Source organism: Homo sapiens, chromosome 12 (assembly GCF_000001405.40).
Source record: "Homo sapiens chromosome 12, GRCh38.p14 Primary Assembly".
NCBI classification, from domain to species: domain Eukaryota; kingdom Metazoa; phylum Chordata; class Mammalia; order Primates; family Hominidae; genus Homo; species Homo sapiens.
This window is the reverse complement of record NC_000012.12, coordinates 114,435,717-114,450,825: the sequence shown is the minus strand read 5'-3', so window position 1 is coordinate 114,450,825 and position 15,109 is coordinate 114,435,717. Positions and strand designations below refer to the sequence as shown.

The 15,109-nt window shown below is 48.8% G+C and overlaps 1 long non-coding RNA gene across 3 annotated transcripts in view, besides 4 other annotated features; it reads left to right on the top strand.

The window, feature by feature from the left end:
- Positions 1–2,244: 2,244 nt before the first annotated feature.
- Positions 2,245–15,109, top strand: part of LOC105369998 (uncharacterized) — a 34,225-nt gene continuing 21,360 nt past the window's right edge. For 2 of the 3 annotated variants that reach the window (XR_007063469.1, XR_945376.3), the window contains exon 1: positions 2,245–2,329. This is a non-coding gene — a long non-coding RNA (uncharacterized LOC105369998). Of the gene's footprint in view, positions 2,330–3,546; positions 3,607–4,506; positions 5,018–15,109 lie in introns of those variants that run through there. The other variant, XR_945377.3, reaches the window with a different exon arrangement.
- Positions 6,866–7,369: an enhancer, noted in NCBI's record as "H3K27ac-H3K4me1 hESC enhancer chr12:114881262-114881765 (GRCh37/hg19 assembly coordinates)". NCBI's record gives its function as "activates a minimal SCP1, AML or CMV promoter by ChIP-STARR-seq in primed H9 embryonic stem cells {active_cell/tissue: H9 hESC(primed)}" and the evidence as "EXISTENCE:reporter gene assay evidence [ECO:0000049][PMID:30033119]".
- Positions 9,318–9,939: an enhancer, noted in NCBI's record as "H3K4me1 hESC enhancer chr12:114878692-114879313 (GRCh37/hg19 assembly coordinates)". NCBI's record gives its function as "activates a minimal SCP1, AML or CMV promoter by ChIP-STARR-seq in naive H9 embryonic stem cells {active_cell/tissue: H9 hESC(naive)}" and the evidence as "EXISTENCE:reporter gene assay evidence [ECO:0000049][PMID:30033119]".
- Positions 9,940–10,562: an enhancer, noted in NCBI's record as "H3K4me1 hESC enhancer chr12:114878069-114878691 (GRCh37/hg19 assembly coordinates)". NCBI's record gives its function as "activates a minimal SCP1, AML or CMV promoter by ChIP-STARR-seq in naive H9 embryonic stem cells {active_cell/tissue: H9 hESC(naive)}" and the evidence as "EXISTENCE:reporter gene assay evidence [ECO:0000049][PMID:30033119]".
- Positions 11,186–11,809: an enhancer, noted in NCBI's record as "H3K4me1 hESC enhancer chr12:114876822-114877445 (GRCh37/hg19 assembly coordinates)". NCBI's record gives its function as "activates a minimal SCP1, AML or CMV promoter by ChIP-STARR-seq in naive H9 embryonic stem cells {active_cell/tissue: H9 hESC(naive)}" and the evidence as "EXISTENCE:reporter gene assay evidence [ECO:0000049][PMID:30033119]".

Below are 15,109 nucleotides of genomic sequence, written 5' to 3'. Positions count from 1 at the left end.
TGACTCTTTACCAACCCCAGGGAACAAGCTCCACCAACATCCACTTCTTTTTGTTTGGCAGAATCTCCTTTTATGTACAAAGATTACTGATGAAAAGACCATACTTTGCAAATGTATCAAGTTAACCAAATAATAAAAATGCAAAATGCAAAGCAGTTTGTATTGTGAACTCCATTTGCAATTTAAAAGACTTTTTTATAAACATATGCCTTTATACACATATATGAAGAATATAAACAGATACACAAAAGACAAACTTTGATATTAGTGGTTGGGGGGAGGGGAAATGAAGGGAGTAGAGGGCGTAGGTCACTGCATACTCTTTCTGTCTGATATTTTTTATCATGTGCGTAAGTGCACATGATAATTTTTTAGGATTTATTTTTTTTACTCCTATTATTATTTAGAGACTGGTGGATTTGGTTCAAATCTTGCTCTCCCACCTACTAGCTCCAGGAGTGTGGGTACCTGACTTCACGACTTCAGCAGTCATTGGTTGTAAAATGGGGCAATTGTATTGCCTGCCTTCTAGGGTTGTTGCAAAGAGCAGATGAGTTAGCACATGTGAAGCACTTAGCACAGAACCTGACACGTGTGGTCGATAAATATTGGCCTCATTATCATCATCATCATCATCATCATCATCATCATGTTTAGTGTTACTATCTGTGGCTGTTATCCTGACCCAAAGAACTTGGTTGTTTGTTTGTTTGTTTCCTGAAAGCCAGGAAGCCCTGCAATATCACTAACCAGGCTGTCCTTTGAAGTAGGGCTGCCTGCTCCGCCCGGGGAAGGAGGGAGCCATGTGTTACAGACCTGAGGCATATAGATCTTCCCTCAGCAGATCATTAGGCTCATGTTTGTCACATTTATTTTAAGGAAACTGGTAGGGAGAGGGTGAATGAGGTTAATTGCCCTATGGATGCTGGGCAGCCCTTTTCTCCAGATGGGGGGAGGTTCAACAAAGCCTGGCGTGACCCCAGAGGCATGGCTAAGGACCTGGCTCCTAGGCCTTACCAAACAGAGAAATAAGACTTGCAGAGAGGGAAGAGGAAAGGGGTCACTGGGGCCTGAGCTTTCATCCTGGGGACTCTGGGCTTGCAGAGAAACCCAGATGGATTGGTTGTGGTTCTTACAGAAGTTTGGGAAAGCCCTAGACTTCATCTTATCCAGAATGAATCCGGCAGAGTCTCACTCCCCGAGCAAGTTAAGAGTCATTCTTATGCACAAATAATTCCTTAAACTTTACTCTGCCCTGGCAGGGAGGACCCCATGGAAAGCCAAAATAGGCCAGGCGCATCTTCCAATTCCTCTTGTCCAGTGAGTCTGGCGTTGCTCAACCCTCTACCAAAAAGCATGCCTGCCCACCAGCTAGTGGCGGGTGCAGGGGGTGGGGTGATTCCTTTCTTTCGATCAACAGGGTTCAGACTTTCCACAAACCTTTAGCACAGACCTACTGGGTGATGTCCCTACAACCATGTCACTCCGGGATGTCACTTCACCTTTTCAAGCCTCTGGTCATTCATCTGCAAAACGGGTAAAATAATCATTCTGCCACATTGACTTTTTGGAAGGATTAATACACATAAGCTTTCATCAAATGGTAGCTACGTATATGATGATTATTATTATGTTTCAGTCTACCTGTGAACCAAGATTTGCTTTCTCCTTCCCTGTAAGACCTTCATCTTCATAAAAGGAAAACACATCAGTGTCCGTTAAACTGTATGTTTCAGCCCTTCCAGAAAATAATCAGGAACACACGGCAGTCCCGGCTAAATGAGTAGAGAATGAACTCCTGGTGGATGGGCGGGGGCGGGGGGGTGCGGGTGACACACCTAATTCAATGTTGATTTTTCTGGCCACCGAAAATATTCCTTTTTACGGACCTGCTGGAGCTCCTTAGATTAACAACCTCGGCCGGCACTCATCGCCCCCACCCTGGCAAAGCTTCCCAGCCAGGGAGAAGGTGTGACTTCAGACTTCGTGGTAAGGATGGGGGTTGGGGAGGCGGAATGCAGGCCGGTGTGTGAGGTGATTGTAACCAGAAACGCCTAGGCAGGCATCTCGCTTCTGTCCTGAGCGGCCGCTGGCAGGCAGCCGGACCGGGAGCCGGGAGCCGGTCCGAGGTGCCCTGACTCGCCGCTGACCGCCCCTCCTGGGCCGCGCCGATAGCTTATCGGGTCCACTCTGGGGGCGCCCAGTGCTACAACCGGAAACGCGGCTGGAGGCCAGTGGATGCTTGATGGAGCAGTTCGCGCCGTGGTGCGCGCGCGCCAGGGCTTAGGCTCCAAGTAAAGGCCTTCTTCATCCATCCACCCACAACCAGGTAAGTCATTGCCTCCACCCTCGGATCCGTTCGCTATAGGCAGGTGAACGGCTGGTATTTTATGGACACTGCGGAGCAGGGAGGGAAGTGAAAGTGTGAGGCAATGCAGGGGTCCTGGGAGGTCGGTGCCACCTCAGTGCCCACGGGCCTCAGAGTGGGGACATGAGCGCGGGGCGAGGGGAGGTGATGCTGGGACCCCGGTTGTGTACCCCAAGTTGCCGGTAAGGGTGCACCTGACCTCCGATCCGCATTTTCTCTTTCCCACAGCTCGACCTGGGACTCCTGGCTCAGGCTTGGCGTGGGCTCCATCCCACCGCGATGCTAGCATGCGTATTGGGGTGCCTTGTCTTGGGGTGGGAGAACCTGTTGTAAGAAATTGTTTGTGGTATAGTCGAAAATGACAGAAATTTAGTCTGAAGTCTTGAGTTTAGGTCCAGGCTTTCCACTACTGTGCATTCCTGGGCCGCTTGCTTAACCTCTCTGGACCCAGCCTCCTCATCTTGCAGAGAGAAGTTCTATTATGAACTAAGTGGGTTGTTGGCGTTTGGTAAGATGTAGAGTTGGAAGATCTTTATAAAGTAGAAGAAGCCTTATTTTTGGTTGTCTATTGTTATTAGAACATTTTGGCACTGTCTGGGGAAAGTCAGCCGGCACCTCAGCTGACTGGGGCGTATGTTCCCGCAGAAGGAGACCCGGGCGGGGTCAAACAGGTTGAACCATTGCCCTCTTCTGCTCAGAACAGGTGTCCCCAGCCTCGGGGAAAGACATTTGGAAGGAAAAGCAGGGGGCGTCAGTGACCCTCCGAGGGCTGCAGAGGCTAGCCATGTGCTCCTCTGAGGCCTTAATCCCAGTATCCCAAACAAGCCGCTCAGGACTGGGTCCCCGGCAGATCGCCGCCCGAACTCGGCCCCCAGTTCGTTTCTTCCAGCGCTTGGCCTGGGCTCACCGCGCGCCCTCACCCCGGTCCAGCTGCGCCTAGAGTTCACTCGGGGCAGCAGAGGACCCGCGAGTAGGCGCTCAGACAGACAGACGCCGCGGTGCCGGGCGGTCTCCGGCTGCGCCCGGGTCTGCGAATCAAAGGAGAAGCGTCCTTCTCTCACCCTCTCACCCCGCTCCGCTGGCTAGCCAAGCACGGAACCCGCCAGGCTCTGGCCAACCGGCTCACATGGCCCGGAGCCCAGAGGCTCGCTGAGGCGGCTTCTCTTTACTTTAAACAGGGGGCCTCATAAGACCTGTTGAGGGGCCCTGCAACACTGTATACAGAATCGCCTATTTAAGTAAGTGCTTTTCTCTCTCTCTCTCTTTTTGGTACATCTTTCTAAAGTCAGGTTCTCAGTGGGATCCACATTCCCTCTGAGGTTAAGAACCATCCTTCTCCACCAGAAGCTCAGGGAGTTGTCGATGCAGGATGGAACATTACAAGATTACAGGCCCCAGGTGGTGGTTTACACCTGTAATTCCAGCACTTTGGGAGGCTCAGGCGGGAGGATCACTTGAGTCCCGGAGTTCAAGACCAGCCTGGGCAACATGAGACTTCCACCTCAACAAAAAATTTAAAAATTAAAAATAATTACCTAGGCTTGGTGGTATATGCCTGTAGTACTAGCTACTGGGAAGGCTGAGGTGGGAAGATCACTGGAGCCCAGGAGGTTGAGGCTGCAGTGAGCTGTGAATGTGCCACTGTACTCCAACCTGGGCAACAGAGTGAGACCCTGTCTCAAAAACAAACAAACAACAAAAAAAAACAAGATGACGTGTTCTTTCCTTACATGTACCCTTAAGGCTCTTGGCTGTGAAAGACAGTACACACATGTACACACTTCAGAAATGTCTCTTCCCAAAGGGAAACTGAGGCCCAGACAGGAGTTGCCACTGGTTCAAGGTCAGACAGCCAGTTAGAGGTTAAAAGTAACACATGGGCCGTTGGTTCTTGATCTGATGCTAAGTATCAGATCTAATCGATTATTAGCTCTAAACAAGCTCATCACCAGTCCACAATTCACCCAGAAACTGGCTTCCACAGTGCACTTGATTAGGACTCCTGGCTATGGTTACTCTTCAAGGGCAATGCTAAACTAGTTGAAGACCACAACTTGAGTTTGCAGGCTACCAGTGGCTTGAAAAGATGAAAGGTTCAGCTTAGCTCTATCCTTAATTACTAGATGTTTAACCTTTAGGATGGCAAAGTACCCGTGGAGACACTGATGAAAACTATGGACTTTCTCCAGAAAAATACACCCAAAATACAATTTTGAGACCAGCATCCAGGCTCTGAAGACCTGTGACAGCCATCCATGGAGTCATGTTAAGAACCTCCACTCCAACTAACCCAAAGCTCACAGCCCTGGAGGAGAAGAAGCCTGTTTGGGGAATTCTACCTTGGCTCCATGTCTCTGAAGAGGCTTGTCCCAGGGAATATAATGGGATCCTCGCTCACACACAACCCAACAGCCGACCCACAATGGCACACCTCCCAGTTATTGCCTTAGTCCGGCAAACCCCTGGCTAAGCATCCACAGCCGAGCTGAGGGCAGTGAGAAAAGTTCAAGTCGCCAGCTGAAGTGGTCTTTAACACCCCCCCCCCGGCCTTCTCAGCCTCACTGTTTATCCATATGAAGCGCTCTCCTTCCCGGCCCACTTCCACCCCCACCTTTCTGAGATCGGCTATAAAAATAAACTATTTTTCCTTGTTAATAAATCTCCGCCCGGCGCCCTCTTTTAAAGAACTCAAAAAAAAAAAAAAAAAAAAAGAAAGAAAGAAAGAAAAAAAAAATCACTGCGCCCAGCGCGAGCGAGCAGGGAGATTAATCTCGAAGCAGGATTTATGTGGCGCGGGGATCCTCAAACAATTGGAGTCGTAAAGTGAAATGAGATTCGGAGGCGGGTGGGGGAGGGGGAGGGCCTCGGGAACCGCAAACACGTTTGTGTAGCTAAACAATGTGGAAACTTTTAAAGACCCATTTCTGCAGACATCTTGCAGCAACCGCGCTTCTCTGTCAGCCCGCGGGAAAGAGAGAGAGATATATTAACTGAAGACACAATCTAAAATTACTTAGGGGTTTTAAACATGCGGACAATGGGGGCGGGGGTGCTGATAAACTGTTGTCCATATTTCCTTCTCTCAGGGTATTATTTCCAAAATATTCCACCCCCTTCACAATGCCCCCTCCCTCCCCCCCTCTTCTTTTCTCTCTCCATTCATTACTTTGACGAGTGTGCAGCAGCCGAAGTCGAAGCCGGGAGGTAACAGAAGCCAGCGCGCAGGATCCGGGTTTGCGCCCTAGTGCCCGGCGCAATTGCGCCTGTGCGTAAAGACGCTGGTGAGGCGCAGAGCCCGAATGCCAGGGCTTAGGTACATCACATCTACTTCTGGGGTGGTCTTTCTTAGGACGTTAGATTCTTAGAGGCTTTAAGGATTCCACGCAGTCTTTTAATGCGTGGCCTTGGTCAGGATCGCAGGCAAACCTTTTTCCCTGGCCTCAGGAGTAAGCGCGCAGGAACGCATGCCCAGGCGGTTCCGGCTCCCAGCCCTGATATGTGTGCACTTAGAGCTGGTGAGCTGTTTTGGACTCCTTGGCTCCAGATATACAACTAAGAGAGAAGCAGGAGCGAAGGCTGGCCCTCCTTGTTGCTGGGGGGACTTGTGTAGGAATTGTCGTTAAGTCTGGCGAAATTGGGGCACGGGCTCAACATTCATCGTGCCCTGTAGCAACGCCCGCCTTCCGAGCACGGGATTCCCACAGTCGTCAAATCCCCGCAGGAACTAGGCGGCCTGGGTCAGCCTGTTTGACCTCCCGTTTGCTTCTCTGTAAAATGGCGATATAACGGTATCTACCCCGATGGTTGTTGGGAGATTAAGTGACTGCAAAGCTCGTAGAAAAGTGTAGGTGGTCAATTAGTGTCAGATGTTTCTGTGGTTATCGCTTCTTATGACTGAGTTGTAAGAGCGTGGGCAGAACCCGAAAGACTGCCCTGTTACTCTACAGAGGAGACAGGGCCAGAGAGAGGCATTCCGTGTCTCATAGTGAATGAGGAGAATGTTAGGGTTGAAAGCCTGATTTCTGGGTTCATTCATTGATTTGATAAATATCCCATTAGTTTCAGGCTCGGTGCTGAGCTCTGGAGGCCCAGCTGTGACCAGGTTGGTCCTGTGCCCCGCGGAGCCCGACGATCAGCGGGAGAGACCGATGCTGAAACCTACAGTATTTCCTTTGATGCCAAATTCTTGCCCGCGCCGCTCCTTAATGCTTCTCTGGTCACAGCTGGGGCGCTGCAGGCTGCAGACAGACCCCTGTCCCCAGGAGGCATACAAACGTGGGGGTTAGGGGAGAACAGGCAAAGGCAGAAGCATTCTCCACCTAGGACGCCTCTGTGGCCGCCGCCGCGCGCCAGCCTGTGACCAGCGGCGCAGCTTCACCCAGGCTGCCGGCTGCCGCTGTCGCCCTTGCGGGGCACACGTCCAGCAAAACATTTCTAAATGTGTCTGGGCCCAATTCCGGAGTGTGAAGCAATCCCTCCGGCCCACGCTGCCGGCGGACCCTTTATGTAGTCGCGTTTCAGCCGCGCAGCGCTCATCAGCGCCACTTATGTCATCGTTTCTGGGTGCGCGCGGGCAAATTTGCTCCGCGCGCGCGCGCCCAGCGACCCCAGCGACCCTCCCCTCCCAGTGGCCTCCACTCTAGCCCTGCAGGGCCCCCAGGGATTTGCTCTGGGGGCTTGGCCAAGAAAAGTGGCCACCGGGACGGGCTGTTCTCTGCCTCCGTGAGTGTGGCCCAGGTGGAAATTCCAGTGAAAACTGAGCATTCTGAATTAAAACAAAACACAGCTAACTTAAACTAACCTAAACTCGTTTAGAGAGGTTTGAATTGGCTGCCTAATTACGGATTCCTCCATCATGAGTCTCTTGAATTACCTAGGCAAAACTGTCAATTATCCAAATGTTATACTGAATTTCCCAGAATTTCCTGGATTTGCCAGGTAGTCAACATCTGCTGTTATGGGGACAACCGTCCAGATTGTATTAGCACAGTGTTCTGCTCTCCAGCTGTGGCTGGATGCCTGCTCACTCTCCTGAATTTTTCTGATACAGTACTTCTGGATTTATTTTTCCCTGGCAAATTCCACAATGCTCCCAAGGTTGTGATGGAGAAGGGAGGGAGAGATGGGTGTGGTGATGAGAGTGGTGGTTACCTTGGCATCTTCTCTGAGCTTCTTGGGCTTCTGAGTATGTTCATGGCTGGAAGAAGAGCTTCAGAGGCAGCCCCACCAGGTTTCCCAAATTAGAGAATTAAAGCAATCTCTCTGGTCATCCACACACTAGATGTCTCAACTTTTCCCAAATTTCCAGATAATTAAGTGTATAAGGGAAATGAGAAGATGGGCCAAAATTTCCACATAATTTTCTAATTTTCTTTCATCTCCATTATGTCACGAGAAGTGTAAATACACCCCTTTTACCTTGAAAGGAGAAAGAAAGAAAGAAAGAGAAAGAAAGAAAGGCAAACAAAACAAATCTCCTGTATTTGTTTGAAACTCTCTTCCTGCATTTAGAGGCTGTGTGTTTGTGTCTGTGTTTGTGTTTGTGTGTGTTGAACCAAGGTCACTGGGCAGCAGAGGAACAGGGCTAGGGTTTGGGACAACCGTGTCAATGTTTTCTATTTAGGAAATGTCTGTTGGATCTCAATCCCAGTGGATCCCATTTTCCCCAGAAAGCACCAATTTCTAACACTTTTGTTTCTTCAGGCCCCTGCATCTTGTAATCTATGACAGACCTCAAGGATAGAGGCTGGTTCTACACTAACAAAGTCCAGTGAATCTGTCCACAAAGTCTCCCCCAACAACTTTGGTATGGGTGGGTGGTGGTGGTGGGAAATATGTGGCTGCCTGGGGCAGGAGTCCACATAATCCAGCTGGACTGGATCTTGATTCCTTTCCCTTCCCTTAATTTCACCAGTGTAGATCTCTGCCTAGAGACAGGGAAGTTTGAGAGAAGATCCAGAAGTCCCTGCTCTGGGAGTTCCTTAAAGGCTGTGGTTGGTTATGGTCTTCCAGTTGTTGGGGATATTTTTGAGGGCACAGAGACTCCTGACTTTTGCAGCTGGAGAGGGGATTAAACACATGTCCAAGCGTGTGCACACCCTCTTCCTCCTCCAGCAGCACACAAAGAGGAGGAAAGGTTGGAATATGTGAAGGATCAGTCCTCAGCCCTGTCATCAGGAAGGCAGCCTGCAGATCTCCAGCTAATTACAATGAGGTCCTGGACCATGATGCTGGTTCTAAAGACTTTAATTGGAGTTCAGGAACACCTCCCCACGGGAGGCAACATCCAGAGATTCTATTGCATCCCAAGGATGTGCCCAACTCCCAAACATTAAGAATATATCCTCATTAGAACCTGTTTCCCACTGGCGGTCCTCCATCAACTCTTCAACTCGAATTAAACTGGGGACACTTCGGAGCGGGTCTGGGTCTGGAAATGCAGCTTTCAGAATCAAGGGCTCTGGAGTCTGAATGCCGAAGCTGAACCTCTTCCCTCACTTGCTAAGTGATGTTGGGAAAGCAATTTAACCTCTCTGAACCTAGCTCTCATCTGTGAACCGTGATAACAGTACTCCCCTCTTAGGGTTGTTAGGAGGAGCCAATGAAGGAGGCAGGAGGAGGGAATGGCTGGATCAAGATTGTTCTGTAGTAGAACTGGAGGCCTGTCCATACTGGGTCCTCAGCCAACAGGTTGCAGCATGCACGCTGGTAGCGGCTCCTCTCAGCCAGATGGTGAGAATGTAATAAAATAAATATATATTGTTGGGCTATTCCAGAAACAGCAATGTGTGGCGTAGGAAAGCTTCGTGTCGAGCTATGTTGGTGGATGTCTGCTTTTCACTCCTAGGCCAGTCCTCAGGCTGTGGGTTCCAGTCCAAGCCCTGCCCCTTTCTTGCAGGGTGACTCTGTGTAAGTGCCTTCCCCTCTCTGGGCCTGGAGTAGGCAGTGCTGGAAATGACTCCTACCTGCAGGGTCATTGTGCGAATGAAATAAACGAGTAGGTGCGTGGCACGTGGTAGTGAGACTGAAAGATACAGTATCACAGCACGTCGTAACAAACACATAAGCACAGCCTAACACAATATACACATCCTAATGGGAGGTAAACGTGGTATAATATCCGATATTACGATGTGTTATATTGTATTATAATTCTAGGCGCACGTGAGCGTGCTGTAAGAGACAGACTGCGTTAGCCAGGACGTGCTTCGCCATTTTAGTGCCCGTGGGGGACGCAAGGTCTTACCGACTGGGGTTTTGAAGCGCGGGTGAGCGCTTGGCAAAACGCAACATCTTTCTCCCGGCAGCGCTGCTCAGTGCCCACTGCTCCCGTCCTGGGAAGATTCTTGCAGGTACCCGGGCACTGGGAAACCCTGGTAGGATCCGGCCGCTCTGTGGCGGCAGCTAGGAGCCCACATGGCACCGAGGAAATCGGGCGTCTGTGGCAATTCCCGACTGAGCGCGGCACAGCGCTGTGCAAACTGATGCAGCAACCTGAACGCGCCGTACCTCACCGAGCACGAAGCTTGGAGGAGGCCGGAGAACCCAGAACACCTAACCCACCCTTCCGCCTTCTGCTTTCCGTGCGGCGCAGGGAGCAGGCGGTTTCCGCAGGGAGAAGGCATGGCTGGAAGAAAAGCACTTTTTGTTTCTCCGCGCTGCTTCCCGGGATTTAGCCAGTGCCGCAGATGCGCGCGCTGACCAACCATCGAGACACGATTCTTTGGAGCCCTTTCTTCTAAAGGCATCGACACATCTACAGAATTGTTTTCAGCGGTGCAATCACTGACACACACACCAAATCCCTTGCACTCGGAACAATTTGCCCGTAGAATTACATGCACATAGAAGTACTTGAGAATTGCAAATCTGTCGGCTCGTGGGCATGGAATTATCTGCACATAGATAATCGTTTGCATATGTTGTTTGCATATGTCGTTTGCATATGTTGTTTGCCACGGATAATTTACGCGTAATTATCTGTAGACAGAAACGTCTTTGCGCACACACATTATTTGCAGGCGCGTTAGCGCGCAGACACTTCATTATATATATGAAAATTAAGGGCACACCCGCGGCTATGCGCTCCGGCACAGCCCGTGGCCCCCACCCGCAGGCGCAGACCTAAGGGTGTAACGATGAGCACTGGGTGTCTTATGTTTCCGGGAAAGTTCTAGAGTTGAAAGGAGAAAACTGTCTGGAGTCCGCGTTCTCTCTTTGTTGTTGGGGTTTGGGTGTTTGTTCTTGTTTTTTGTTTTTATTTTTTGACAGAGGTTGAATTCCCGACAGTTTTCCTGCTAGGAAAGACAGCGGGGACAAAGGCCAGAGGGTCACCCTGCTTGGAATCGAGGTCCGGGAGCAGTCCTTCGAGGGTTAAGGGCAGCGCCATGGGAACAATGAGTACAGAGATCGTGGCGCGGCCTCCTCGCCTCCCCTAGGCCGGAGAAGAGCCAGGTGGGGCCTGGAGGGACCCGCGGCCTGCGTTCAGAGGGCCGGGGGAGCTGTGTTTATTTTCTGGTTATTCTTGGCCGTCTTCCACGCGATTATTTGTAGCAGCTTAGGGAAGTTCAGGGAGAGCTGGGGCCTTAGGGGGTGAGGTGGGGGTTCCTCTGCCAGATCCCATGGATTTTATGGCATCGGAGCTCCAAGGGCAAATTACAGGCGGAATCAAAATGTGTAAATTCCAGTATAATATATAATAATATAATTATATATAAAATATATAATATAATGTAATGTGTAAATTACAGGTTAGTATCGTAAAGAATCCTAAGTCTGGCCGCTCAAGAAAGGCGAGTTGTGGGTTTCCAAGCTGACTCCCAGCCGGGCGCTCGCCAATGCGCCATGGGCGTCTGCGGGCTCAGTCCCCAGGCTTGGGAAGCCGGGGCGCCGGGGCGCTAAGAGGGAGAGCTGAGGCGCAGGCCCAGAGTTCTGTCCCAAAGCGGGTGGCCTCACCAGCAGGAAAGAAAGGGGGCCAGGTTGAGCACCCTGGCTTCGGAGGCTGACAAAAGACCGACAACCTGGAGCTGGAAGCATGGGAATTGGGAACGCTGCTTTTTCTCCCTGGGCCCCGCCGCTGTGGCGGCCTTTTAGCTCGGGCTCGCTAATTAGACTTAATCGAAAGTGCCTTTATACGCCTAGCCAAGAGCTAAAGCTAGTTTAAGAGGTTAGGATGTATGTGCTGCCACAAAAGTGCGTCGCAGAGGTTCCTTGGAAAGAATTTCGGAAGCCTTACAGTTCAGAAAGCTGTCTTACTTCATTTTTCATTATTTAGCGTTTTCTGGGTCTCATTTGTTTTCTTCTTTTCCCTCCATAGTCTTTCTTGTTACGTCCTCTTTCCCCCTTTTTCATTTTTTTCTTTCCTCGGTTTCCTTTCCCTTCTTCCCTCCTCCGCCCTTTCTCCCTCCCTCCATCCCTCCCTCACAACTTTCTTTCTAAGTTCTTTTCTTTTTTTTGGTCTTCTTCCCCCTTTTCTCCTTGCCTCATCCTTTCTCACTTCATGCCCAATTTTCTTGTTGTTCTCCCCACATTTGCAATGTTTCAAAGTCCCTCCTTTCTGGTGTCTTTTTTTTTCTCTTTGTTCACTCTATTTCGCAATCCCCCATCTATTTCCTCCTTTTCTTTTTCTTTTTTTTTTTTCTCTTTCTTTTCCCATTCTATGATTAATTCTTCATGTCTTGGCCCAGAATGTGGTGCAATTGAACTTAAACTTCCTTGATTATGGCAAATTTAACTAAAAACAGGTCGCACTGGCCTGGAGAGAATTAGAAAGGGGAGGAGAACATTTCGATAGCAGCATCAAGAAGTGCTGCATTCAGTTAACACTAGCCTCTCCAGGGCTGGATACATTGGAGAGGTGAGGGGCTGAAAGATTAGTAAGAACTCAAACTTTCCATGGCCAACGAGATTGTCCATTTGGAAGGGGTGAGCTATCCAGTTATCAGCAGGACACCGGTGCGTTATCATGCACGTGAGCATACCAGGGTCTGCGCATATCAGCTGTCCATTTGATTTCCATCTTTGTTCTAGGAGCTCCTGAGAAAATCTTGCTAAGATTTAGCACGAATTTCAAGAAGACAAATAAACCACCCATGATAAAAATCCTTTTGAGACCACCTAGCTCCCTTCCTGGATGACAGATCTCTATTTTTCCTCCCTAGGAGCCCAGGTCTCCCCTTCTCAACAGCTGTTCATCCATTGTTATATTTATTGGGTAAATATAAACCCATAAATACACCTGAATGAAAAGGTTCATGTTCCATAATATGCTGTTCAGAGCCAACAACATTCATCTTCCAACCATTTCACTTCTTTGGTTTGACAAAGAGTGCAGGAATTCTACACTCCTGCTCCTTTTCCCAAGTGATGAGAATATTAACATCTGACCACTCTGCCCCCAGGAGTAGCCTCCACCCCTATCCACCTTTCCAAAGCCTCCTTATTAATAAGAGGTCACTTCCTTCCAGGCCTTAAGCTCAGCCTGCAATTCAGACCAGACAGGGAGAATATGTTGACATACCTGAGCCAGTGGCAATACCAGGGTGATCCTATCCTCATGGAGGGAAGGGAAGAGGCTTCCTAGGGGCCCATGCTGGGGACCTGTGCTAGAGACTGGAGAAACAGGCGCTCCTGTGTGGAGATCAAGGGAGCGACTTCAGGAAAGAAATCCTGGCTCCATCACAGTTCATTTTCATAAGTGCATGCCCTTTAAGTCTGGCTTTCTGGAATGACCCAAGCAGCAAGCTGCTGAGCCCTTCTCCTAGCCATTGATTGCCTGGCCCTTTTAAAGCTTGGAATCCAGTAAGGTTGGTGTAGATGAAACATATTCAATTAGCATATCGTGTTGTTGAGGGTGTGGGTAATAAGCACTCCAACATGGGCACTTACAACTCCTGTGGGGGGTGGCAATTTGGTGTGCCATCAAAATGATGACAGCACAACCTTTTGACATAGCAATTTTTGTCCTAGGTGTTTATCCTACAGATGTAGTCCTGCATTTGCAAAATGGCATTTGTATGAGGATGTTCAATGCAGCACTGCCAAAGTTTGAAAATGACTTGGTGGGCATAAATGGGGAGCTGGTTAAACTGATTATAATAAGAGGGGCAGTGACATATTATGCAGCTATAGAACAGATCAAGGGCTTTCTGTATGTACAAATATGAAAGCATCTCTAGGATATAAGCAAAGGACAATGAAACTAAAAGCAACAGGCAGAATGGTTTGTATAGCAAGCAACCGTGTGTGTGTGTGTGTGTGTGTGTGTGTGTGTGTGTGTGTGTGTAGTGATTCCCCAGAGGGGCATAAAAGACACTGCCACCCTGTCACCGTGGTTACCTCCAGGCAGAGCCAACTAAATAACTGAAGAAGGAAAATCTGCTTTGCACTGTATACTGTTTTATACGTTTTCAGGTTTTTTTCTTTGCCTTTCACATGTCCTACTTATGCTATACATAATTTTTAAATGAATTGAAAAAAATAATAGAAAATGGTTGCTGTCCTCATGGTCTTTTCTTTTTCTCTGCAGCCTTCTTATTGCTTTCTCTCATTCTCCTCTCCCTTTCAGAATAGTAGTCTCCACCTGATGAACACTCACCCCATGTAGAAGTTGTGGCAACTGCCTTAAAAATACCTCACTTCATTCTCACATCAGCTCTGCAAGAGAGGCATTCTTAGTCCTATTTTACAGGTGTATAAACTGAGGCTCTTAGCAACAAATCTCCTGCCCAAGCTCACATACCTGATAAGATGCTTTCCAACCCAGATAGTCTGTTTCCGAAAGCAAATGATTACAATCTAACTGACCTCTACTTCCATATCCTCTTTCTTTTCTCCATTTATTCTCCTAAGACTTCCAGCCACTCCCCCATCCCTTAATTTCCACCCCATCTCCCACCACTCACAATTGAATAAATGAAAATAAAATACTGGAAGGAGAACAGCTAAGTCCAGACCAAAGCAGGCCAACTGGTTCTAATGCAAATTCAAAGACAATTTGCTGAACTACATGGTGGCAGACGGCATGGAAAGGTAGACTTGATGGAGACAGAAATCAGTCAGTCCCTCGGCTGTTCATAGGAAACCCACCCATGGACTCACAAGTCCTGTTTCTTTCTCCAGCAGTTCCCATAAATCCTAGCAGGTCTTCATTCTTGGAGCCAGCACTAAGCCCTGAAAGGTAATGGGGTGTGAGAATTTGGCTTTGGAAAAATTCTCGGTTAAGATCCGGATGTGGGGCCAAGATTCCTGCGGGGAGCCCTTAAACGTAGGAGCTGGGGCTGTTAACCAAATTTCCTCTTATCTGAGGATTGGGCTTCTGCAGGTGAGGCCTCCAAACTTCAAATGCATTCCTCTGCTACCACAGCAAGGCCCCAGAAAGATACCAGGAATCATATTTTTTGGCACATGGAACTAACTCGTGGCCAAGTCAGCAAATAGCTCTGGAACACTTAGGATGTCCAAGGCACTGCACAGCCAAGGTAGCAAAATGTGTGTCAGTTTCATACATACTTGCATATTATAAAAATTTAATTCAAATTATTACAAAAATCAAATTCGATTTCTATTTTTTAGAAGTTATACAGTGAAAATACATTTCTATCTCAGCTCCTTTCCCCAGTCCTCTAGTTTGCTTTTCTGAGGCCATCCAACTGTGACCTCTTTCTTGTATATTTTCTGGATATAATCTAAGCATGATTGATTTTTTTCTTATTTGAATCATTACCTTTTAGACCCAACATA